The sequence below is a fragment of the Homo sapiens genome, chromosome 6 (assembly GCF_000001405.40).
Source record: "Homo sapiens chromosome 6, GRCh38.p14 Primary Assembly".
NCBI classification, from domain to species: domain Eukaryota; kingdom Metazoa; phylum Chordata; class Mammalia; order Primates; family Hominidae; genus Homo; species Homo sapiens.
The window spans coordinates 36,493,652-36,519,339 of NC_000006.12; the positions used below are offsets into that span (position 1 = coordinate 36,493,652).

Sequence of the window (25,688 nt, forward strand, 5' to 3'; positions counted from 1 at the left end):
GAGATGGAAAAGCACTTTGCATGAAGATGGTGATACAGTTTTGAAATTAACACTCGAAATTAGGCGTTGTAATGGTTTGTGGACAAAGGGGTTAAAAGCAGCCATCAGCACTCTGCCTCTAAGTTATATGCCACTATCTGCTTTAAATCACATCACAATCCCCTCTCAGCCTTTTTGCTAAGATCAAATGCAGTATCTGTTCTTATCAGTTTAATAAATCACACCACGTATTTCCACTACTGTTTTTACACAGTTTATTCAGAAGTTTAAAAGTTAAAATGTGGGCATTTTCCCCTGAAACAAATCATCCCCTGCCACTCCCCAACACAAAGACTCTCCCAACACCGCAGTTCCTTCTCTTTACCCAGGCTTACCACACATTCTTGCAAAACACACAGGAGTCAACACCCCAACTATTTGGTAATACAAAGAGACTACAAAGTCACACAAAAGAATCTCATTTACTTCCTTTTCACTAGCAGGCTATGAATGAAAGACTGAGAGGCAAACACATCACCTTCATCCAGAGTTGACACTTCCCTAACCTTTTTTCTTCCTCTAAGAGGTTAAAATCCAAAGTAGTTTCACTGACAACTGTAACTCTGATATTCCATTTTTCTCTTCTGAATGGCTAAGCTAGGACATACTTTCCTTTCAAAGCTGATCTTCAGAACCTCAAGACTGGCAGAAAGCAGGCTCCCAGCTGCAGCTCGGCCACAATACTTTGCAACAGGCAAAGTTCCCACATAGGTGCAAATGATGCTTTAAGAGTTATCAAAACTTTTTAAAAAATAATGCATTAATATGGAGCCTCCACATTTTTCTGACGAAATTCCTCTAAAGGTGGTGGCAGCTGTGAAACAGAAGGCACTTTGTGCTAAAATTCAGAGGGTCTCTCAAGAGAGAACGCCACAGCAGAGAGACCCAATCCGCCTAAGTTGCAGGCGACCCTTTAGGGTGGGGAGGAGTATCCCCCAGGAAGGCATCTGCAAAGGAAAAAATTGTAATCATGATTCCAAGGCAAAATGGCTAAAGTTGGGAGAGAAGAAATACCAAGAGAGAAGACAAAACATGGCTGTGCCAAGGACTGAGGAGTGAGCTTTACAAGGACTTGTCAGCTGGCTCTGTACTTCTATTGGGCTGGTTCCTTCACCATTTCCAAAGGGGTTCTGGAGACCTTGCAGGAACAGGAACAGCACCTTAGCCAAGAGGGTTCCAGGCCTCCTGCCTAGGCCTGGGCTCTCCTCGTTAGGTTCCCAGGAATAAATTGAGTTCCCATTGGCAGCACTTGCAGGTATTGCTAGTCCACGGCAAGATCTGTCTTAGGGATTTTCTGGTACAGCCGTGAAGAGAAAGTGAGGGTTTTCCACATAATCCGGGATTTCTTGGCAATGCCCAAAGACTTTCTGGGCCTTCTAAGAGCAACAGTGGATCAAGCTGGTAACCCCCATCAACACTCAGAAAAGCAGCATGGGTATTTTAGATGGGGGACAGGAGGAGATAAATCAATGGATTGACAGTCTTTATCTTAGTACCATAAATAAAGTGCACCATGAATGGAGGCTATAAGCCACTCGCCTGAGGCTGAGGTATGGGTAGAAACTACCATCACCACCCTCAGGGTGGCGGATCATTTCCTTCAGCCAGAATCCTGGCTGCTGAGACTGTCTTTATTGCTTTATTTCCTTAGTACTATGGAACTTTTAGCTATAAAGGAAATACTTGGTGGGCTTGGCAGAGAGCGTGTCACAAAATTACAGGAACTGGCTGATATTCGATGACTATACACGACAATCTCAATAATGTTGGATGATGGCTGTTTTTCCCCTTCATTCTGATGAACTTAGGAAAACTCAAGTTATTTTTAAAACACCTATCAAATTGGCTCATGATGCTTCTCTTCCAAAGCAGGATAGCTGTTTATGGCCGACGTAGTAGAAATGGTTGTCTTTGTTTACAGTTTTTCAGATGCATTATGGAAGAAAATCCTCTTACTACCACATTTCAGGAGACTTTACTATGACATATTGGTGGGTTCCATCAACTTCTTGGAAGCTCTTCAAGAGTGTGAGAGGAAAAGCATGATGTTATACAAAGAACTCTGCTCCACATAGGATTCCGTGGCAAGAGTACTATTTTGCTGCTTTCATGTAGGAAGGTATTGCCCCCCTTGCAGTCAGGCCCTCAAAGCGCTTGTACGTGTAATTGATGAAGACCCAGTCTTTGTTCTTGTAGTCAGTCTCAGGATGATTACTTGTGGCCACTGGGAAAGAAATAGATGTGAGAGTTGATTCACTGCCTTGCCTCCAATGGACTGCTCACGGTGCTGAAGACAGGACTATGAAGAACACACCAGTTTCTATTTGGGAAAGCTTATTTTTCACTCTATGAATTTTTTTTTTTTTTTTTTTTGAGACAGAGTCTTGCTCTGTCGCCAGGCTGGAGTGCAGTGGCGTCATCTCAGCTCACTGCAACCTTGCCTCCCGGGTTCAAACAATCCTTCTGCCTCAGCCTCCCCAGTAGCTGGGACTACAGGCGTGTGCCACCATACCCAGCTGATTTTTGTATTTTTAGTAGAGATGGAGTTTCACCATGTTGGCCAGGATGGTCTCGATCTCTTGACCTTGTGATCTGCCCACCTCGGCCTCCCAAAGTGCTGGGGTTTCAGGCATGAGCCACCGCGCCTGGCCTCACTCTATGAATTTTCCACATTTTCTTGCTCATGTTCTTTAAATCTCATATTTCTTCACAAATTTTTTAATGTTTTATTTTCCCATTCCTGTCATTTCAGATTACCTAACACTTAGTAAATAACAAAAGAACAGATTTTTGTGACTTACTCACCCAGTTGAGCAGTCTAAACATGGGAGCTGATACTCATTTTCCATTCACCAAGGTTTCACCACTACCCAGCATTAGAATTAGAAAAGTACTTACAAAGAACCTGAAGAAATGAAATTCCTCTCCATGTTCACTACCCTGATTTGTAAACATCATCCCAAAATTGGGGGTAAATAATGTGCTTATAAGGCAGCAGGAGACAATGCTGGTGGTGTTACCTGTTGGCTTAAGAATATCAGATTCTGGAAACTCATCGAAGTTTGAGGTATCATCAATGCTTTTGATTTCAATAGATATTGCAGCAGGTCTCTCTCTGCCAAGAATACACATGCCAAAAATTACTAAGTTAGTAATCAAATGGATCATACCAATCAAGTCTTTCTCCAAAAAAGACCCCTGGTCTGACATGAGAAGACTCTTCACTGGCAGGCAGCATTTATTTTCTCTGAAAAACTTATAAACACTGACCAACCAAGCCAACTGACTGTACCCAAAGTAAATTATGATTTTAAAAAAATAACTCAATCATTCATAGCTAGAAAGAAAGATAAGAATAACTAAAACGTGAAGTTAGTGCAACTCCCCCCATGGCCTGGCCTGTCTACTAAAAAGGGAAACTGAACCTCTAAATGTCCCCTTGTGTAGGGCTCTGCCCTTCTTCCACTGGAGGTGCCAAGTAGGATGGCTAGAAAAGTGGCAAAGGTAAAAAATCACAAGCAGCAAATCAGTACACAATTATAAAATAAATGAAAACTTCACCTTCTATTTAATAACCAATGAATGCTGAATGAGAAGGTCTGGACTACAGCAGGTGGTCTAGGCTCTCACGGCTATTGGCCGTAGTCTACTACCCCCACCATAACAATTTTCACTCTCCCTTTCCCTCTCCACTTCCACCCCTCCAATCTTTCCTCCACTCCTTTCTCCCTTCTCTATGTTCCAGTGATACCTTCCACCCTGTGGGCAGGAACAGTCCCGCTGGCGGGACCTAAGAGGTTGCTGAGTTCTAGGTAAAGGGTAATACGCTTCCTAGATGCTCCCTCCACCTCAAAAAACAAAGTTCACTTCACTTTGTAAATAACTGCTAGATTCAATATATTCCATGACACACGGCTGACAAAAAATCTAATGCCCAATCTTCACCATGAATGAAAATCAGGAAAAGACCCTAAATCTCTAAGAAGCTCTCTTCCCTTACTTGGCTTGCCAATGATGGTCCTTCCAAATTATTATTAAGTAAACTAGAGACTTTCTGAAATAATTCTGAAAGTGTTTATATGGATATACCTGATATGTTCCCAGTCAACGCCTTCAAAAAAAGAGTTACTTTTTATTTCCTCAACTCCAGGAGCTCCAATTCTATGTTCCCATTCACAGCAGAACCTGGAAAAGACAGAGGCCTTTCAGCACATCTCAAGCAGTCTCCTCAGAAAAAGAAAAACTTTCTTTTTTTTTTTTTTTTTTTGAGACAGCATCTCACTCTGTCACCCAGGCTGGAGTGCAGTAGCACAATCATGGCTCACTGCAGCCTCAACTTCCTGGGCTCAAGGGATCCTCCCATCTCAGCCTCCCAAGTGGCTGGGACCACAGGTTCCACCACACCCAGCCAATTTTTTCTTTTTAGAGGTGGGGTTTTGCTGTGTTGTCCAGGCTGGTCTCAAACTCCTGGGCTCAAGTGATCCCCCTGCCTCAGCCTCCCAAAGTGCTGGAATTATAGGCGTAAGCCACCATGCACAGCCTTTTTATTTGTTTAAAGAGAGGAATAGGAGGAAACAGAAAGCAGATTCAGGAGATAACAAAAGTTTTTAAAAAAATGGAATCATTCATATTAAAAAGCTGAGAAAGAAGGTGGAGGGATGTTCTCTAATACCTCAAAATTAGATCCTTGGCTTTCTCAGAGATGGGAACTTCTGGAGGAAAAGTCAAAGTTTCTTTCCAGTTCATCACCTTCTTATATGTCTCTTGAGGGGTCTCAGAACAGAAAGGTGGGTAGCCTGTAATAAAAAAGGAACTTCGGAGCTTTTACACTCCAGAACTTTGAATCTGACCGAGATTACTCTCCTTAATAAAATTCTATGTCTTTTTTTTTCTTTTTTCTTTTTTTTTTTTTTTTGAGACAGGGTCTCACTCTGTTACCTAGGCTGGGGTGCAGTGGCACAATCATGGTTCACTGCAGCCTTGAATTCCTGGGCTCAAGTGATCTTCCTGCCTCAGCCTTCCCAGTAGGTGGGACTACAGAAGAGCACCACCACACCCAGCTGATTTTTTATTTTTCTTTTGTAAAGACAGAGTCTTGCTATGTTGATCAGGCTTATTTTGAACTCCTGGGTTTAAGAGATACTACCACCTCGACCTCCCAAAGTGCTGGGATTACAGGCATAAGCCACTGTGCCCGGCCTGATTCTGTATGTCTTTAATGACTACTGGATTACTCTGTATGGCCATCCCTCCATGACACAGACAGGATTTCCACTTATCCCAGAAAATACCTAAACCTATTTTTCATTTTCCCCCAAACTCCCAGACCCAAAGTGAAATCATGCCTCTGGTACCACTAGGAAGTCAGCTAATAGGTAGAGCTGGGAAAAGAAAGGAGGACATAAATAGAGTTGCAGGTGTGGGAATCACCATGCCCAAAGAAGAAATGAAAGGATGAAACAATATCATTCCAGAAATACCCTTATATGGGTAAAGTACCAAATAACTTGAATAAGAAAAAAGCATAGATTTTAAAAATGACCACCATGCCTCTTTTTGAGAACTACAGGCAAGAAGACAAACACGCACACACCCTATCACCCCATCTTCCCTCCAGACGGTGTACGCCCACCTCCACAGGCATCGTTCCCATGTTCCTGAAGCCAAAGCAGCCAGATAGACTCACCCGGAACCACCAAGGATATACTTAATCTAGTGCTCACTGGCATATGACCACCCCCACAGATGCGTCCCATAAATACAGAGACACACCAATACAATAAGAGGGAGAGAGGCCAGAGGGTCCCATGATTTGAAGGCTTTGACAGAGGAAGGGGGCGGCAAATTAGGAAAGTGAGGCAATGCCCAGTTGAAGTGCTCTGCATACAACGGATATTTAATAAATGCTAGTGACTAAAAGAGCTTCTAGATGGAGAAGATGAAGGTATAAGAGAAAGAAAAACATAAAAAATGATCAGCAAAGCAATTGCAGGATGCCAGTAAGCCCAAGAATGGAGTGGGATACATCTTACTGAAAGAGGTGTCATCTGTCTAAAACAATTCACTTTGAAAGACAAGTAGGGAAATCACTTAGATCACTGCCAATTGAAACAGAGGCTGGTATCAATGTAAAAGTCTGTCATGGATGCACAGAAAAAGTCCTCTGAAACCATGCAACTTACCGATGAGCATCTCATACATGATCACCCCAAGCGACCACCAATCACAGAGCTTGTTGTACCCGGTCTGCATGAACACCTCAGGAGCAATGTAGTCAGGAGTGCCTACTGTGGAGAAGGCCTGAAACATGGACCACACATCAGCGAGGCCCAGCCAGGCAGGAGGTGCCCAGAGTTCTGTTCTAGAAACCAAAGGCTATGAGTAACATCAGAAGCTACCCCCAAGCTAAATAAGCAGGACTGCCCAGTAGCTTAATGGCAAGCTCGATTTCCCAAAGCACTTTCCAAAATGAACAATAAAGCTTTGTTCATGAGGCAGGAGACCCTTAACTATGAGTCACTAGGGCGAAGGCATCTGTGTCATAATAACTGGTATTACAATTTACTGAGCACCCATTAAGTACTAGGCTCTGTACTTAATATATATATTACATGAGTTTTATATATATATATAACTTCATATACATGAGTCCATTTAATCCTGACAAAACTTTTCCAAGGAGGACCTTATTAGCTTAACTTTGCAGATACAATTTGATGCTCAAAATGGCTTTGCCTGAGACCGCAGAACTAGTTAGGTGGTAGAGCCCAGTTTAAAAATTAAATATCTGGCCGGGAGTGGTGGTTCACGCCTGTAATCCCAGCACTTTGAGAGGCTGAGGTGGGCGGATCACGAGGTCAAGAGATGGAGACCATCCTGGCCAACATGGTGAAAACCCGTCTCTACTAAAAATACAAAAATTAGCTGGGCGTGGTGGTGTGCACCTGTAGTCCTAGCTTCTCGGGAGGCTGAGGCAGGAGAATCGCTTGAACCCGGGAGGCGGAGGTTGCAGTGAGCCGAGATCGTGCCACTGCACTCCAGCCTGGCGACAGAGTGAGACTCTGTCTCAAAAAAAAAAAAAAAAAAAAATAGGAATTATAGTATCTTACTCCAAACCATCCCTCTTTCTATGATACACATTCTTTGATTTGACACAATCATAAAGGGAAGCTATATGATCAAAAGCTAAAGTTATATCCTATAACTTAAACATTTATAAATACCTATTTACCAAACTTAATTGTTTTTGTATATAGTTCTTGGAGGAATGTTTTCTTTTTCTAAGAAATGGGGGTCTCCCTTTGTGGGCCCAGGCTGGAGTGCAGTGGCACGATGATGGCTCACCTCAAACTCCTAGGCTCAAGAGATCCTCCCACCTCAGCCACCATAGTAGCTAGGACCACAGGTGCATGCCACCACACCTGGCTAATTTTTTAATTTTTTTGTAGAGATGGGGTTTTGCCATCTTGCCCAGACTGGTCTTTAACTCCTGGCTCAAGTGATCCTCCCACCTCAGCCTCCCAAAGTGCTGGGATTACAGGTGTGAGCCACCGCACCTGACCAAGAGAAACATTTTCTGCATTCCAGTATTCTACTCTAACATACCAGGACTGCAAAATAAGAGGAGAAAGTACAATCAAAGCCTCCTAATGTACTTAACATTTGAGGGCTTCCATGTGTAAGGCTCTGATCTAGGTGCTTTAAATATTATATAATTTTTTAAATTACAGTTGTATTGTTTTTAAAACATGTATTATGAAATATTACAAACATACAGAAAAAAGGAACAGACAATACAATACAGACCCATTACCCACATTAAAAAGATTAATAATTTGCCATATTTGTCTCAGATCATTTGTCTTTTTTTTTTTTTTTGAGATGAACCACACCTGGCTAATTTTTTGTATTTTTAGTAGAGACAGGGTTTCACCACATTGGCCAGGCTGGTCACAAACTCCTGACCTCAAGTGATCCACCCACCTCAGCCTCCCAAAGTACTGGGATTACAGGAGTGAGCCACCGCAACCGGCCTTGTTTGTCTTAACATTCGTTTTGAGATTTATTCATGTAGCTCTAGTTCACTCATTTCTCTGCCGTATGCTATACTGTTATATAAATTAGTCACAATAGTTTTTATCCGTTCTTCTGTAATGGACAGTTACAGTGCTTCCAGTATTTCACTATGACAAATAACACCTGAATAAACATTCTTTTAATACCTTCTTGGGCACTGTGCAAGCATTCCTCTAGAGTATTAACTAGAATATTGCTGAGCCTTGGGTTATAAGCATTTAAACTTGAGGTATCTTCCATGTCCTCCAAAGTAGTTAGTCCCTATTTAAACCAACCCCGGTGGGGATTAGCTTCTGGTACTCCATATCTCATCAAGACTTGGCTTTGTCAGATTTTTTTTTATTTTTACCAATCTGATGAATATGAAATGGGATCTCTTTTTTTTTCTTTTTAAGAGATGGGGTCTTGCTCTGTCACCCGGGCTGGAGTGCAGTGGTATGATCATAGCTCACTGCAGCCTTGAAATCCTGGCCTCAAGGGATTCTCCTGCCTCAGCCTCCTGAGTAGCTGGGACTGTAGGGATGTGCCAGCATGGCTGGGATCTTGTTTTAATTTGCATTTACTTTATTTCAAGTAGGGTTGAGCACATATTCATATTTTAATTAGCCATCCAGGTTTTTATTATGAATTCCTATTCAGATCCTTTGTCCATTAGTATTTTTTAAGTTGTGTTGTCCTTTTTCTTATTGATTCATAGGAATTCTTTATGAATTCAGGACATTAATCTGTTTAAGATATTTGTATACTGCAAGTATCTTCTCCCAGATTGACGCTTGTTATTTTTATTGTGATTTTTTTAATGAAGTAGTATTTGTTACCAAAAGTAAATATGTCACATACATACATCTGTTAATTACATACATTATCAAATTATAATGCATAATCATGAAAATGAATAGCCACGAGTTCAACTGAAGAACCAAGGAATACCAATATTATTAAAGCTAAACATGTACTCCTCCTCGTCTCTCCTGCTTCTCTTAACCACTATGCTGAATTTCGTGTTTTGTCACTCCTCTGCTTTTAAAAAGAATTTTGCCATCTATCTCTCTAAATGAGATCTTAGTTTTATTTTTGAGCTTTATTAAAATGGTACCATTCTATATACAGTCTTCTGCTATTAGATTCTTCCTCTCAACTTTGTTTCTAAAATTGATTCACACTGTCACAAGTAGCTGTTCGTTCAATTATTTTTACTGCTGCAAAATATTCTATTCCAGAATGTAACTGTTTTCCTGTGGATGGACACTGGATTATTCCCAGTCTTTTGCTATTATGAAAATGCAATAAACATTCTTCTGAATGTCTCCTGGTTCACATGTGCAGTTTCTCCAGGGCCTATGACTAGGGGTAGAATTGCAGCGCTGTAGGGTGTACACATGAATTCTGAAAGATAATTCCAAAGTAGCTGTACTGTGTGGCTTGTCTTTTCATTTCTTTACGTCTTTTGATATATAGAAGGTTTTTTTTCCTTAAAGTAATAAAATAAACCAACTTTTTCCTTTATGAGCTGTAGTTCTTGTTTAAGAAATCCCTCTTTACTCTGAGGTCATAAAGATATTGCCCTGTATTTTCTTTAAAAATTTTTAAAGTTTAATTTCCCATCTAGAATTGACTTTTGCATATACTGTAAGGTAGGGATCCATTTTTTCCATATAGCTAAGTGTGTGTGTGTGTGTGTGTTTGTGTGTGTATGATATATATTTAAATGCAGATATTAACACAAATGCCAGTGTTGTCTTTTGTCTTTAAGCTTTAAAAACTGACATGTGGATTAGGCCCTCTCCAAGAATTTTCATTCTAATCATAAAGGTAAGAAATTACAAACTCTTTAATTTAGAGATGAGGTTTACTCTACCAAAGATGAATGTAAATCTAAGCAGATCTTACTTGTTCAAAGATTTCCATTATAAAACCAGAGGTCTACTGCCAGAGGAAAAGAACTCCTTCAAGATACCAGTGCATTAAAAAAAACTCTTAACGAGTTATAAAATATAGCAAACAACAGGCTCAAACCTGTGAAGGTAAAAGTATTGCTCTTATTCCAGAAACTAGAGTCTGCCACTGGAGCTCGCTCGCATTTTACCACACTTTTTACCACACCATCTGTACCAGGTGTGCCCTTTCCAATCTAAGGACTGCCCCCTTCCCAAACCTTTGTTGTTTTCCACACCAGGGTGTCCTCCAACTCCAACCTCGTAAATCTGTACTCCAGTTTCTCCTTTTTTCTGTCTGGGTATTTCAAGTGTCAATGAAAATTGCTATCTGGAATAGCTCTGTTGGTTGTTAACAGTCATTTCAACTGAATGTGTTCTAACCTTATGATTTTGTGTCAGGGTTTTAGAAGAAATAAAGCAATTTAATTTCCTACTCACTTCTGTAAATTCAACCCTAAAAAATTAAACTGACCAAGATTGGATGCCTATGTGTCTATTACCTTTTATATCTGTAATTAACTTAAAGCTGACTCATATTAATCAGTTACTGGGGCCTAAGGTTATACAGGACGACATAACAATTTAAAACATTACAATATGATTTAAGCAGCCGAGGAATGAAGCTAAAGCCTCTACTTTTTTTAGTGATTCCCAATGGACTAAAAAGTAATAGGCTGAGTAGCAATTACATATGTTAGGCTTAACCTAGAGCAGTAAATTTATATTAACCATTAACGAATATCAATCTTCAGCTTGGTACTAGCTGAATGGGATCACTAACAAAAGGTCAAAGTAACACAGTTAATTAACATTTGGAAGACTGAGAGGTGGCTTCATTTTCTTCAAGTTATGAAAAGAGATAATATGAAGATGACCTTAATTTACACTTTCCCATTTCTACTGTATATAGTATAAAAAGGCAAGAACCTTAACCATAGCATCAGGGCCTTAAGTTTATTCAGATTTTCAAAAATGTTTTTAACTATTAAATGACATTTAACTGCAAATACGAAAATTGTGAAATTGCTTTCCTTATAGAACTATAGAAATGGTTCCTCTAATCATGACATGACCCTTGGGTACACATCAAAGAGCACAAAGCTTGTCTTGGAATATAAGGAACAATTCAAAACACTTAAGCTTTATCCCCAAAATACTTGTCAGCACAGTAGCCAAAGGTTAAATCCTGGCCTCCAAAAAAAAAAAAAAAAAAAAAAAAGAAAGAAAGAAAAGAAAGGAAAGAAAGAAAGAAAAGAAATCACAGATTCCTTACCTTCTGTTTCCAAAAAATAGATAAATATTAGTTTCCCAACAACGCAGGAGCTATTATTTAAGACATAACCTCTTCAGTGGAGGTTCTCCACATTCACTGCACAGTAGAATCACTCAGTCTTTTAAAAACCAGATACCCAGACTATATCCCAGACCAACTGAATCATAATTTCTGTGGGTGGAACCTGGACATCAACATGTTCTGAAGTTCCCCAAGTGATTTTGTTGTGCAACCAAGGTTAAAAACTACTCCTCTGTGGAGAGACATAATAGAAGCATCTGACCAAATTTGTTCCTGACACTCCCTAATCCTCAACAAGATAAACCATTTTTCAACCACATACAGAATTCAGAAGTTTAAAGAGTCGCAGAGTTCCCAAGGAAGGGAGACTATTTTGTAACTAACTGTACTAAACTGAAGATTTCCCAAGTAAATATTGTCTGAGGCCCCACTGATAGGTGGGCTTCAAATAAATCAAAACGAATGCAAGGCTTTCCTTTGACTCTTCCTTAAACCATCCCATAGGCTTCCATTTTCACATGTAACTGACATCCACCTATTAGTGACCTACTAAGAGTGTTATTAAAGGTACTCTAGAGAACTGTAAATCAGTATTTTACTAGGAATTCTGACTGAAACACAGTATTTGGTAAACTTGCCAAGTTACTACCATATATGTGGGCAAACGGAAGTGCTACCATTTCCAGACAATACATTTGCATGACCATCATTCCAAGTTAGTCAGTTTCCCATTGCTGCTACTCTGCTTTCTAATGACCAAATGTTAGTTTGGCTTTACCATCATCAATTTCATTTGCTATGGGTTTCTTGCAAAGCTTAAGAATGTAGTGATACGCATTTCTATTATCTGGCCAATAACTTTCCAGTAACTGGACACTGGAACATGTACACTGAACTTCAAACATGAACCAATTTATCAGCTATTGGCAAAAAATAAATTCTGCTTAGACAGCAATATTTCACTGGTAAATTTGTACTTCCAACATACTATCAAGGTAAACACGATGTTTCTTATTTTTCAGCCTGTAGGACATAATTTTATATAGGCACAAAGTCAAATGCATATAAAGTAATAAGCATTCCCTTTATATTTCTCTCCAATCTTTATAAGTAAGTTCTTTTTTACATCACAAAGTCAGAAAGTGTGAGGCAAATGAATTGAGGAGTCTTGACTTGCCCTTGCCCGAGTGGATCAAAATTTTTAAAAAGTTTGAGAATTGATGCCTGAAAACTCTAAGTAGGTATTTGTACTTAGTTCTGACAGATCTCCAGCTTAAATATAACCCCTTTACCACTATGAAAATGGAGAAAAGGTGGGGCAGGAAGGAAAGGTATTGTTACCAAGCTAAAAGGTCAGAATGAGGTCGCCCACGGAAAATGTCACAATCAAAACAACCTAATATTACCTGTCCTCCTTCAAAAGATTCCTTTCGGTCCTACCAACCTAACAACAGCACTCTCTTTAGGTAATCTTAAAAGCAAGGGATATGTTGCAAATATTTGTCAAATGCAAATTTATGTGAAAATCTTTTGAACTTATTCATACTTGGTTTGTAGCATTTCAGAAGCCACAGATATTACTTACTAGCTGACGTCTATTTCTTTTCCAGGTTTCTGCTTTCCTTTTGGAATTCATGTTCTGGAAAGCTGAAAGTAAAGAATACAAGCTGCAGTCAAAGTTCAGACCAAAATGTTTACTACTTTTTTTAGTAGGCTCTTTCAAGTCACATGAGACCCTAAAGTCTTGCTTTTCTTCTACTCATACATCAAAAGCTCCAGATGATACATATCCTAGTACGTTTACAGTAAACCCAAATCAGAGGCTGTAAAGCATTAACTTAAAAGACTCACACAGAGTTGTAAAAGGCACTCCCATGTGGATCAAGTGGCAGAGGATACAGTACAGGACTTAATCAGAATTACAGGGAATTCAGTCTCAACTAGAATTGAGGTCCTAACGTGGACCTAAAACAGTCACAATTTCTCAAAATTACCATCAATTTTCCAAGTAGTAGTAACTTATATGATCAGGGACATCTGAATTTATGATACATGATTTGACATATGCTTTTCTAGGATGAACTGAAATTTTACTACATAGTTGTCAACGATTTCATAGTGCTCAAATGGAAGTGACTGTCATAAAGATAAACTTCTTTCTGTCATGAAGGACAAATCTAGCCCAGGACAAATCTAGCCCAGAACTGTTCCCAGGAGTTTTTCCTCTACTACTTCTGCTTGCTTGTCCCATACTCATCCCCAGTGACCTTCCCAGTAGACCTCTAAAGACCCCTTTCAACCTCTGCCTTCACACACTTGGTACCCACTCATTCATCTTGCCTCACCAGACAACACAAATCACAGGCAAACCTGGGAAGGTATTTTTATTCTCTACATACTCAAAGTGTGAGAATCTCCTATCTGTTCTAATTTGGTTACAAGGGAAACAGCTCTTCTAGGCCCAGTTAGAACGAAAAGGCTAACGTAATTGTTACCACTTACTGAAATCACTGGGGAGGCTGTGGTTCAGATTCCTATAAAATTCTGTCCTATGTGCTTTTTTCAGTCCTGTGCAAAGACCAAAGTCAGAAAGTTTCACATGGCCCTATGGGGAAGAAACAAGGTGATAGATGGATGAGTATTCTTGGAGGTAGAACAGAACATTACGTTCTGCTCCTTCCAGCATCCATTATAGCTCTACAGCCAAAGTACACTGCTCCTTCTTTTATGATAGGAAAAATCATGTAATTGCAGATAAATTTTTTAATCCCAAATCCTATTATACTAATAAAACTATTTTCATTTCTGCATATCATCTTTGGTTTTATCCAAATACTGATTTTTAAACATAGCTGACCCCTCCATAGCATCTAGAGACAATTTTACTACTTCTTGTACTCAAATATTCCTCTGTTTCTATATGGTATTCAGAATTTTTTTTTTTTTTTTTTTTTGAGACATGGTCTTGCTGTGTCACCCAAACTGGAGTACAATGGCGTGATCATGGCTCACTGCAGCCTCGACCTCCCAGGTTCAAGCAATCCTCCCAACTCAGCTTCCTGAGTAGCTGGGACCTCAGTTGTGTGCCACCACGTCCGACTAATTTTTTTTTATTTTTTGGAGATACAAGGTTTCCCTGTGTTTCCCAGGCTGGTCTCAAACTCCTGAGGTCAAGTGATCCTCCCATCCCAGCCTCCCAAAGTTCTGAGATTATAGGCATGCGCCACCACACCTGGCCAAAATTACCACTTTAAAAGTCTACATAATATTCAGTTTACTTGGGACTTCATTGTTTACCTTACCATCCCCCTAATACTGGATGTGCATTCCATTTTCAATTCTTAGCTCTCATATAACATGGATTATCAGGTCCCCTCTGACAGAGTCTGTATTCCCAGACCTAACCGGGCATGATTCAGGATGACCTTAATAAATGGTTGTTAAATGAAGAGTAAATCTTTTCAAAATTGTTCATATAGCTTTTCCTCCTCTTATAACATTGGAATAAATTCCAGGAGTAAACTGTTTCAAAGACAAAGGGAATAAATATTATTGGATAGTCCTTGATAAATGCTATTGCCATGAGATCCTTGGGCTTCTAGCCAGAAGCCTCTGTGGTCATTGATGCCTTTACCCGAGTTTTGCTCAGGTCCGCTGGGCTCATTCCGCCCACTCAGCCTGGCAGGCTTGTGCTACCAGCGCGGATCCCAAGCCTGCCAAGGGCAAGAAAAGCACAGAGTGGCAAGGCGTGTGTGAGTGAGTGCGGGGTCCAGCCACTGCACACAGCCAGGCACACCGGTGGCCACTGCACACAGCCAGGCAGAGCAGGTAGCTCCAGGTGCCAGCATAGTTGCTGGCTCCATGCAAGCCTGCAGCTGGATGAGATGCACTGCAAGCGGCTTCTGCTGTGGGCACCTGCATCTGGACGAGGGGAATGCAGTGGCACCTGGAAGCTTGGAGATGCCAGAAACCGCAGAGCCCTAAAGGGGGTGTCACAGCACTGGCTCAGGAAGCCCCTAAGTCTGGGCTCCTGGAAGGGCCGCCGCTCTTCTCTCCTTCTTGTTGCCTGCAACACGGCGAGCAAGGGAGACATATTTCAGCCCTGTTTGTGTTACCGCTCTTTCAGCCCCACCATTTGACAGGTCCCAGGTTCTTGTCCTGCATTCAGGAACAATGAGGTATACGGACAACTGGAGCATGAACAAGGTGAAGAGGAGCTTTACTGAGCGACAGTACAGCTCTCAGGAGACCCAAAGTGGGTTGCTCCTTTCCGCAAGCAGGTCATCCTGACATCTGTGCAGCCCTCAGTGCAGAAAAGACCCAGAGTGGGTACCTCCCAGACGCAGGCAGGTCATCCCATCTGCCGGGGTTCGGTAAGGGTGGTGAGAAAAATTGTAGAAAGAAGCAAACCTTCTTAGAAGGCTGGGAAGTTTTACAAAAGCTTCAGAAAAGGATTTGGCCGAAAGCAGCCAGATTCTCTTATCCGGTGCCTGAAAGCTTAGGTTAGATAACAAGGGGATGTAAAGAAACTGATGTAGATAAGTTAGTTTACTTAGGCCTCGGAACCTGGACTTTAATAAATCGAGGCGCAGGACTGCTCTCTCCGGAGATGAGGTGGGGGTGGGGGGGTGATGACCATGTTAATTACCCACAATGACTCAAGGCCTTTGTCATTAAATCTGTACTAAATAGTTGCCCGCAGCACCAGCTTGTCAGGGCCGAGGCTGCTACAACTCTTTCTGTAGGCAGTCCACTCCCCTAGCCCGCTCTTTCACTGGATATCTGTGTCGGAGTCCATTTTTTTCATCTATCGCTCGGTCGCAGTCTGCAGTTTGGACCTGGCACCCATCAAGTCTGTAGCCCTTAGGAGACCCGGAGTAGATAGCTCCTTTCTGCAGCAGGTCGTCTGACCATCTGCCAGAGTGTGAGTCCAGGGTTTGTATGGGTTTCAAAAGAGAGAAAGTACGTGCTGATTGGTCCACAGGTGGCCACAGGCAGGCCCGGAAAAACCACCGCAAGTTCTTACTCTGGGCCACAGACTCCAGCCCGAACTGACAGCTTGGCCCTCAGGCTTCAGGCCATCCCTGGCTTGAAGGTGGGGCTTCGCCAGGGACCCACCCCTTTCCACCCAGGAGCCTCTCTGCCTCTTATAGCCATCAATCATTTTGTCCACAGCACCCAGGCTGTTGGTGCAAAGGGGCATCTACAGACCTGCACCCAGGTGCTCTCCTCCCCTGCTTGGCCTCCCTCTCATGCTTCTTGGCACCCAAAGTCCAGAGGGAGCTGAGGCTGCAGGGGGCTAGTGTGTCAGCACCGCCCCAAGTGTGCGCACACCTGACCAGGTCTCAGTAGAACCCAGGCTCGGCCTCAACTTTGCTCTGAAATTGGAGTGGACACCAGGAGCACAGAGAAGTCAGGCAGCAGGAGCAGGTACTTCCAAGCTCATGGGCTTCTGGGATGCCCAGGTCTGCAGCTGTGGTTGGGCAACTGCAACTGTGCCTGGGAGGGCAGGGCTCCCGCTTGTTCCCAGCTCCTGCCAGCTCCATGGAGCACACAGCCCTGACCGCACCTCCCCCACTGCAGCTGGCATCTTCCCAGCAGAGGCTCCAGACAGGCCACCGCTGCCATTATGACCATGCTGTATTCCAATCATAAATCTCTTAACTTTATAATTTTCATAAAGGAAAACACACACCTTCTATGAGTCAGGCACCTTGATCAATGCTTTGTGTTGTCTCATTTAAAACTCCTAAACCACACATCACAGACTCAGAGCTGTTAAATGGCTTGCCGTTAAAATGGCGGAACCAAAAGCAGAAATCAGCCCATGCTCTTCCTCCCAGACCAGGATTACTTTACCCTGCCATCTTATCTCATCTGGAAAATGAGAGTACAGATATCTTTCTGGCAGGAATGGGCATTAATGCATGTAAGACTCCCAACACAGTATCTGGCATATAACTAGCCCTAAGGAAAAAGTAGGTGTCTTAGGGTGGCAAAATTTTAAGATGGAGAGTTGAAATCAAAAATGTAAGAGGGAATCCTGATGCTCAGAGATCTACCTTGCTCAGGGTTACACAATCAGAAGTGGTGTGGCCAAAATTTGAGCCCAAATGACTTCAATGTCTGTGGTCTTTCCAGAATACCACCTTTCTCAAGGACATCATCAGGCTTAAACATACAAATTTTCCAAAATACAAGGCTACAGGAGCCCTGCTCAGATGGGTCAAATTTTATTATGTTTTGTTTTAAAAGAAATCCAATTAGGTTTGGATGTGTGTATGTACATATGTACACAGCAAGGTAAACTGCCAAACAGGGACAGCTTTGAGCCTATTAAACTCAGTATCTTTTTTTTTTTTCTTCTTTTTCTTTCTGAGACAGAGTCTCGCTCTGTTACCCAGGCTGAAGTGCAGTGGCGCCATCTTGGCTCACTGCAACCTCTGCCTCCCGGGTTCAAGAAATTCTCTGCCTCAGCCACCTGAGTAGCTGGGATTACAGGTGCCCGCCACCACATCTGGCTAATTTTTTTGTGTTTTTAGTAGAGACAGGGTTTTACCACCTTGGCCAGGCTGGTCTTGAACTCCTGACCTCATGATCCACCCACCTCGGCCTCCCAAAAAGCTGGGATTACAGGCGTGAGCCACCACGCCTGGCCTCAGTATCTTTTTTTGCAGATTTGCAAGTAACTTACTCTACAAGCCAAGGAAGTTTATAGTTCTCATGATTACATATCTTACCTGGACAACTCTAAGAAAGGACTAAGAAAAACTGTTTTTGGCTGGGCACAGTGGCTCACGCCTGTAATCCCAACACTTTGGGAGGCCGAGGCAGGTGGATCACCTGAGGTCAGGAGTTCAAGACCAGTCTGGCCAACAGGGTGAAACCCCATCTCTACTAAAAATACAAAAATTAGCTGGACATGGTGGTGCACGCCTGTAATCCCACCTACTTGGGAGGCTGAGGCAGGAGAATTGCTTGAAACTGGGAGGCAGAAGTCACAGTGAGCCAAGATCACATCACTGCACTCCAGCCTGGGTGACAGAGTGAGACTCCACCTCAAAAACAAACAAACAAAAAAAGCAAGAAAGAAAGAAAGTAAAACTTTTTAAAAGCAGTTCCTGGAGCAAATGCTATTCAAGCCTAGCCTTTCAGGGAATTCTATAGCTATTCTGAATATGCAACAGGAACTCAAAACTCCTACATTTTTAGGACTATAATCTATGTGGCTGAACACAAATCAACCTGCTTATGAGAACATTTTGCTACAAGTGTGAGCTAGCATAATATAAAGGGCAAACCTGCACCTAACAGGATCCCCCATTCCTCTTCAGTTAGACCGAATCCTCAAGTTCTTTAATATGGTTGCTGGATCTGAACATAGACTACAGGGGACAAAGAAGCCAGCACTAAGCTACCTGGGGCACCAACCAGGGCATCTGAACTTTGAATCACACAAGGTAGGGCCAGTGCTTTATTAAACATATATCTGACATTAATGACACAGGAAAATATCTAGCATTAATATTTTAATGTTTACACAGAATACAAAGCTATTTACTTTTAGGATGCCAACTTTATATAAATGATTGACACAAACAGAAAGGCATCAAAGTGATTACAACAAAATGGTTATCTTTCAGTGATTAGATTATAGGTAATCTTTCTTCTTTTTTTTTTGAGATGGAGTCTCGCTCTGTTGGCCAGGCTGGAGTGCAGTGGCACGATCTTGGCTCACTGCAACCTCCGCCTCCCAGGTTCAAGCTGATTCTCCTGCCTCAGCCTCCCGAGTAGCTGGGATTACAGGCACGTGCCACCACACCCAGCTAATTTTTTATTTTTAGTAGAAATGGGGTTTCACCATGTTGTCCAAGCTGGTCTCCAACTCTTGACCTCAGGTAATCCACCTGCCTTGGCCTACCAAAGAGCTGGGATTACAGACGTGGGCCACCGCGCCTGGCCAGCGTAATTTTTCTTCTTTAATACTGTCTGTAATGTTCAAATTTTCTACCATGTTTATGCATTATTATTATTATTTTTTAGATGGAGTCTTGCTCTGTCCCCCAGGCTAAAGTGCAGTGGTACGATCTCAGCTCACTGCAACCTCCGCCTCCTGGGTTCAAGTGATTCTCCTGCCTCCACCTCCCAGGTAGCTGGGATTACAGGTGCCCATCACTACACCCAGCTAATTTTTGTATTTTTAGTAGAGACAAGGTTTTATCATGTTGGCCAGGCTGGTCTTGAGCTCCTGACCTCGTGATCCACCCACCTTGGCCTCCCAAAGTGCTGGGATTACAGGTGTGAGCCACTGCGTCTGGCCTTTTTTTTTTTTTTTTGAGAAGGAGTCTCGCTCTGTCACCAGGCTAGAGCACAGTGGCATGATCTCAGCTCACTGCAACCTCCACCTCCCGGGTTCAAGTGATTCTCCTGCCTCAGCCTCTCAAGTAGGTGGGACTACAGGCACACTCCACCACGCCCAGCTGATTTTTGTATTTTTAGTAGAGATGGGGTTTCACCATGTTGGCCAGGATGGTCTCGATCTCCTGACCTCGTGATCCGCCTGCCTCGGCCTCCCAAAGTGCTGGGATTATTACAGGCGTAAGCCACCATGCCCGGCCCCGGCCTTTTTTTTAACCAGGCTCTTCCCATATCCCCGTCTCTGCTACACTCTCTAGCCTTTGATGTCCACTATTCTACTCCACTTCTGCACATTATAATGAAGAAAAAAGCAGGTGGTGGCTCACACTTGTAATCCCAGGACTTTGAGAGGCTGAGGTGGGAGGATCACTTAAACCAGGCAGTTTGAGACCAGCCTGGGCAGCAAAGCGAGACCTCATCTCTACTAAAAATTAAAAAAAAAAAAAAAAAAAAAAAAAGGCCAGGCTTGGTGGCTCACGCCTGTAATCCCAGCACTTTGGGAGGCCAAGGCGGGCAGATCACAAGGTCAGGAGATCGAGACCATCATGGCTAACACCGTGAAACCCCGTCTCTACTAAAAATACAAAAAATTAGCTGGGTGTGGTGGCGGGCGCCTGTAGTCCCAGCTACTCGAGAGGCTGAGGCAGGAGAATGGTGTGAACCCGGGAGGCAGAGCTTGCAGTGAGCCGAGACTGCCCTAGTGCACTCCAGCCTGGGCGACAGAGCGAGACTCCGTCTCAAAAAAAAAAAAAAAAAAAGGTACAGTGGTATGCACCTATAGTCCCAACTACTCAGGAGGCTGAGGCAAGAGGATCCCTTGAACCCAAGAATTAGATTGCAGTGAGCTATAACTGTGCCACTGCACTTCAACCTGGATGACAGAATGAGACCGTCTCAAAAAAAAAAAAACAACTTCAGGTTTTTCAAGGACAGCAAAGCAAAAAAGTCACCAAAAGACTTCAAAGAAGAAAAATACCCTAGAAAATAAATTTACTTTTCACCTTACAAGAAAAATTCAGTCAAGACAACAAGTCTGCTTAACAGAAAACAACATTCTAGAGTTTTAGAGGTGAACGGGATTTTAGGGGTTTCCTAGATCAGTATTTTCACTTTACGGATAAGAACAGTGAGATCCAGGTGGTAAAGAGATTTGCCAAGGGTTATCTAGCAAGTTAGTTGGCAGCACAGGGATTATCTTCTAATTTGCTGTAAGTTTAGGAACTAGGCAACTACGCTTATCTGCATGTCTAAAAATAAAAATAAACAGGCCATTTAAGAGGCTGGGCAGGGGCGTGGTGGTGCATGCCTGTAATCCCAGCTACTTGGGAGGCTGAGGCAATGAGAATCGCTTGAACCCAGGAGGCGGAGGTTGCAGTGAGCTAAGATCGCGCCACTGCACTCCAGCCTGGGCAAACAGGGTGAGACTTCATCTCAAAAAAAAAAAAAAAAAAAAGAGGCTGGGCAGGACTCTTCTTTAAGCAGAGAGCATGATTTGGAACCTGGACTTTGTTACAGGTTCTTGTTGTTACTGCATTTCCTGCTTCTTGGCTGGGTTCCTCATTAACTGATGAGGTTGCCCAACAGAAGGGCTCTAGATAGGTGATGTATTAGTAACACAGTTAATTATATGCTAAGAGAAGGTGACTATCTTTGGCTTTATTACAAAATTGCCCTCTACATCAATTTTGCTCTTATTTTCAAGTTTCCTTTATTTTTAAGAGAAATGTTCAACCAAATTACAGAACCATAGCCTTTCAGAGAAAGGAAGTGACAGCAAACTTACCTGTTTAAAAAAAAAAGGAAAATCATGACAAGGCAGGTCACAGCTCGCCCACTGGGATGACCACAGGGGTGCAGGTGTTAAAGCAGAGGCTGCTCAGATCAGTAAACGTGCATAGTTCATGCCAATGCCCCCCCAATACCTTGCTGTCCAAAAGAAGGTTGTCTGGTTTGATGTCTCTGTGGATGAATCCAAGTTGGTGAATAGAGTCTATGGCTAATACTGTTTCTGCTATATAAAACTGAGTCTCCTCTTCTGTCAGAGTGTCTTTTTTCATCAACAAGGTCATCATGTCCCCTGGAAACAAGAAGATACAAAGCCACCACACACACACACACACACACACACACACACACACACAACATACGAGTGAGTACCAATTTTCAGATATGTCTTCCCTATCTGCCAAAATAAGGCGGCTAAACAGACCTCTTCTGTGTGCCAGAGATAGACCCACATGGCCAACATGGGAAGAAATGGGATTTTCACACCTAAGCTAGCTAAGGTTGACCACTAAGCTGTGATTTCTATTTTACTTTTGAGAGAAAAAGAAAATTTCTCCCACACTTTAAAAAACAACTGTATTTGCTTAGGATAATTTTTTGGACTCGGGGTAAAATGCTACTTTACTTTTCACTTTGCCTGAACAAGTATCTGCAAGCTTTTCTGCATCTGTAACTAAATGGCACTTCCACATACAATCTATGTATTGTTATAGAGAGGCTGAAATGCCAAATAAAAATGTAAACACTCGGGCAGGCTGAAAACAAGCTTTCCAACTTCTATTCACAGAACACAAACAAATAAAAAGGAAGGACTTGGGTAGCAAAGCATTAGTCAACAAAAGCTAAAAATGAACTGAAAATGCTATACACTAGAATGTGCAATAACTGCCTCCTGGAAGAGTACAATGAACACCTCTCAAGGTCAGTGCTTTTTTTTCTCTAGTGCGTTATTATAGGTATTTAAATGGACACTAGTACCCTTTATGTAACTTTTAAAACACAGTATCAGTATTCTAGCAGTTAAAAGGTAACCTCGTTAGTTTTCTGCAAAGTCAAAATTTCATCATTTCTAATACCAGCAACATAAAATGGCAGAAAAAGATTCAGGTCCTAACTCAACAGTGAGAAATGCAAAGAAAATATGTATAAGGAGTTTAAAACTAAGAGAAACAGTAAAGATTCAGTTTAGACCTCACATAAAGTCACTTATGTTAGAAAACAAGGAAAAGAGAAAGAAACCTCTGATTTTAACAGAGCATCATGCTGCTTTTTCAGTTTCATTTCATTTAGAACATTATGTTTTGTATTATTGGAGAAAAGTAGCTATTTTTCCCTCAGGCAAAAATTAAACCATTTATTAAAGTGCTCTTTTTCAGTCCAATACTTAAAAAATATGATTTCCTAATCACTCCTGGCAGCCCTTCAATCTGGAGACCCACCAGACACATGGAGACAGTGCACTTGGGCTGCTACCCCAGTAAGGTAGCTATACGGCCTTAGTTCTGTGGCTCAGGAGAGCAGTCAATGGGGCCTCGCCTGTGCAAGTTTGCCCAGATGATTGGAGAGCTCAGGCCAGATGCTCTATGGCTCTGCAGGCCAGCTCCACCAAGTGCAAAGGGCAGGGTCCAGGAGACATGAGAAGCTACGGAAGATGGTACAGGTTGAGGCTTGAGGACACGTTAGGAGCTGGTAACCAAGTTGGCTCTTACTCTTATTTAAGAACTAGCATCTAAATGTTAAAAAAGTTTCTCCTCATTCTACCAGACTCTTTTCTAACATTAATCAACTGTTTATTTTTTATTAAATGTGTTTCTTTATTAAAAAGTATTGATGACCCTAAATCTAAGGGTTGTCACAAAATCAAAATATTATGCCACAATTATAGGAACAAAAAAGAAAAAAGTTCTCTCTCTTTTTTTTTCCCACCAGAGTTTGCTCAGAGTTCATCTGCTCACTGACAAACAGACTGCTTTCCTCAGAACAGATGGCATGTTCTGTTCTGGGTTTACTTTGGAGCTGTCTTAGGAGATGCTCATGCTGAGTTACATAAAACTTAAAATTTCAGAAATGAGAAATTTTTTCTGGCTACTAATATGGGTAACAAAAAATTCACTCCTTATTAATATGTTATACAAAAAGAAACAAAAATTTGGAGCAAAGGATGTTATAGCTTCAATGTTGTCACTTGGGTTATTGATCATATATGATTCCCATTGACAGGAGAGCAGGCAGAGCACCCTAATTTATTCCTATATATTTTAAAAAGAAGAAGAAAAGAAAGAAATGTCCATCTGAAATCATGTAAATGAATTAACAGGTTACTTTTATGGTACTAAGATTGTAGAAAGGCACCCCAGCACAAGACAGGTTACTGACTTCCTTTATAGACCTAAAAAAGGATATAGAAAGCAACTTTGTGAGCACATTTAAAAGTAGAAAGGAGGGTTAATCGTGATGTGAGAGAAAGAAACCACAGAACAAAAAGAAAAAATGACCTTTCATCGTCAAGTAATTACCTCCAGGCAGGAACTCCATGATTAGGTAGAGGTTTAGCTTATCCTGAAAACTATAGAACATTTTCACAACCCACAAACTGTCTGCCTCCACTAGAATGTCACGCTCCGCACGAATGTGGCCAACCTGGAGGTATATGCATTTGATTAATGACAAAGCTTGCTCTGCTTTATTAGATTGTATATTTGCTTAAACAATTTAAATACTGTGCTTAAATACTGTTTTGAGTATTTAATCGTGATGATATAAAAGATCCAATTTCTGCTTAGGCAAACCTACTAACTCAAAATTGACAACATTTGACTTCAAGGTATTCAGTGATGAAAACTTGAGTGATGAAAGGCTTTAAAAAATGGCAAAATGAATGGCTTTAATGCAAATAGCAACTTTAACACTGCTATAAACTGAATCTCTGATTAGTTAAAATTACTACTCTTTTGCATAGAGTTTTGTCTAATAATCTTTTATGATAAAAATAAGTCCCCAAAGTGAGACTCTCTTCCAAGTTCTTCCTCGGGTCTGCACTAGTATCTGCAACAACAGTGAGCTCACTGACAAATTCTAGAATGCTATGATACCACAGCATTTAGTTCACTGCTATGTGCTCAATCAATCCTTACTGAATTGAAATACAAGAACACCTATGAAAAGTTGTAGATTCAAATTAATGACATTTCCAATTTTATACTTTTACTGAAATACCTATAAAGGACCAAGTTGTAGAAAGTTTCAGAGAACCGGAATTATTTTGTTAAAGCAATGCTTTATTATCAAATTTACCTTATTTACTTTAAATGCAGAACAGTAATCAAACATCACTGCATATTATCAAATCCCCCCCACACACACTTTTTTTAAAACAAGATGGGGTCTCGCTCTGTCACTCCGGCTAGAGTGCAGTGGCGTGATCATAGCTCACTGAAGCCTCAAACTCCTGGTCTAAAGTGATCCTCCTGCCTCAGCCTCCTAAGTAGCTAGGATTATAGGTGTGTGCCACCATGCCTGGCCCCTCCCCTCTTTTTTAAGTGTCACAAGGTCTAAATTGGGTTGATTCAGATCTAAATTTATTAAGACTCAGTCCAATCCCTGAATAGTGGTTTTGGTCTTAACATATGCTACAGGTCTTGACTTTTTACAACATGTTCTGAAGTAAAACATGTACCAAGGTTCACAAATTGGCAAATTTAGTCCATGGCTGTTGGCAAATTTAGTCCATGGCTGTTGTTTGGTTTAATACAATGTTTGATATGATGCTTGTTTTATTGACATGTCTTTAGGGAGACAAGGCACTCTTCCATTACTCTTCCATTTCAACACCCTCTCCCCTGGTCTTATATCTAACTTGCTTCAGGCTTCTATGCTAACTCTTGGAGGCCCAGAGGCATTTGACTTTATGTATTTGAGTTTTCAGTATCTACTAAAATCATTCTTTGGGGAATTTTTTTAAAAGCTGCAACTGTACAGAAAACCTACATCTTTACATCTGTACTTATGGTATTGGGGTGGGAAAAAATGGACAATAAGGGTGAAAAGAAACAGTGCTATGAAACACAATGAAACCAAGTAAAGCATCTGCCTTTACTTGACCTTAATACAGAAGCAAAGCTTTTGGGAAACAGTAACAT

General features: G+C 41.5%; 1 protein-coding gene and 1 pseudogene across 9 annotated transcripts in view; one reads left to right on the forward strand and one right to left on the reverse strand.

Annotated features, from left to right (window-relative positions):
• Positions 1-157: 157 nt before the first annotated feature.
• On the forward strand, positions 158-313 carry LOC124901558 (uncharacterized; annotated as a pseudogene).
• The window catches only part of STK38 (serine/threonine kinase 38), a 53,588-nt gene continuing 28,140 nt past the window's right edge, over positions 241-25,688 (reverse strand). For 5 of the 9 annotated variants that reach the window (NM_001305102.2, NM_007271.4, XM_047418140.1 and 2 more), the window contains 9 exons: positions 24,066-24,189; positions 21,687-21,841; positions 13,849-13,951; positions 12,932-12,993; positions 6,222-6,339; positions 4,712-4,835; positions 4,129-4,224; positions 3,060-3,154; positions 241-2,263 (listed from right to left, as the gene is read on the reverse strand). In NM_001305102.2, the coding sequence (NP_001292031.1) occupies positions 2,133-2,263; positions 3,060-3,154; positions 4,129-4,224; positions 4,712-4,835; positions 6,222-6,339; positions 12,932-12,993; positions 13,849-13,951; positions 21,687-21,841; positions 24,066-24,189 (1,008 nt within the window). In that variant the 3' untranslated portion in view covers positions 241-2,132. Of the gene's footprint in view, positions 2,264-3,059; positions 3,155-4,128; positions 4,225-4,711; positions 4,836-6,221; positions 6,340-12,931; positions 12,994-13,848; positions 13,952-21,686; positions 21,842-24,065; positions 24,190-25,688 lie in introns of those variants that run through there. The other 4 variants (XM_017010226.2, XM_047418142.1, XM_047418143.1 and 1 more) reach the window with 2 other exon arrangements.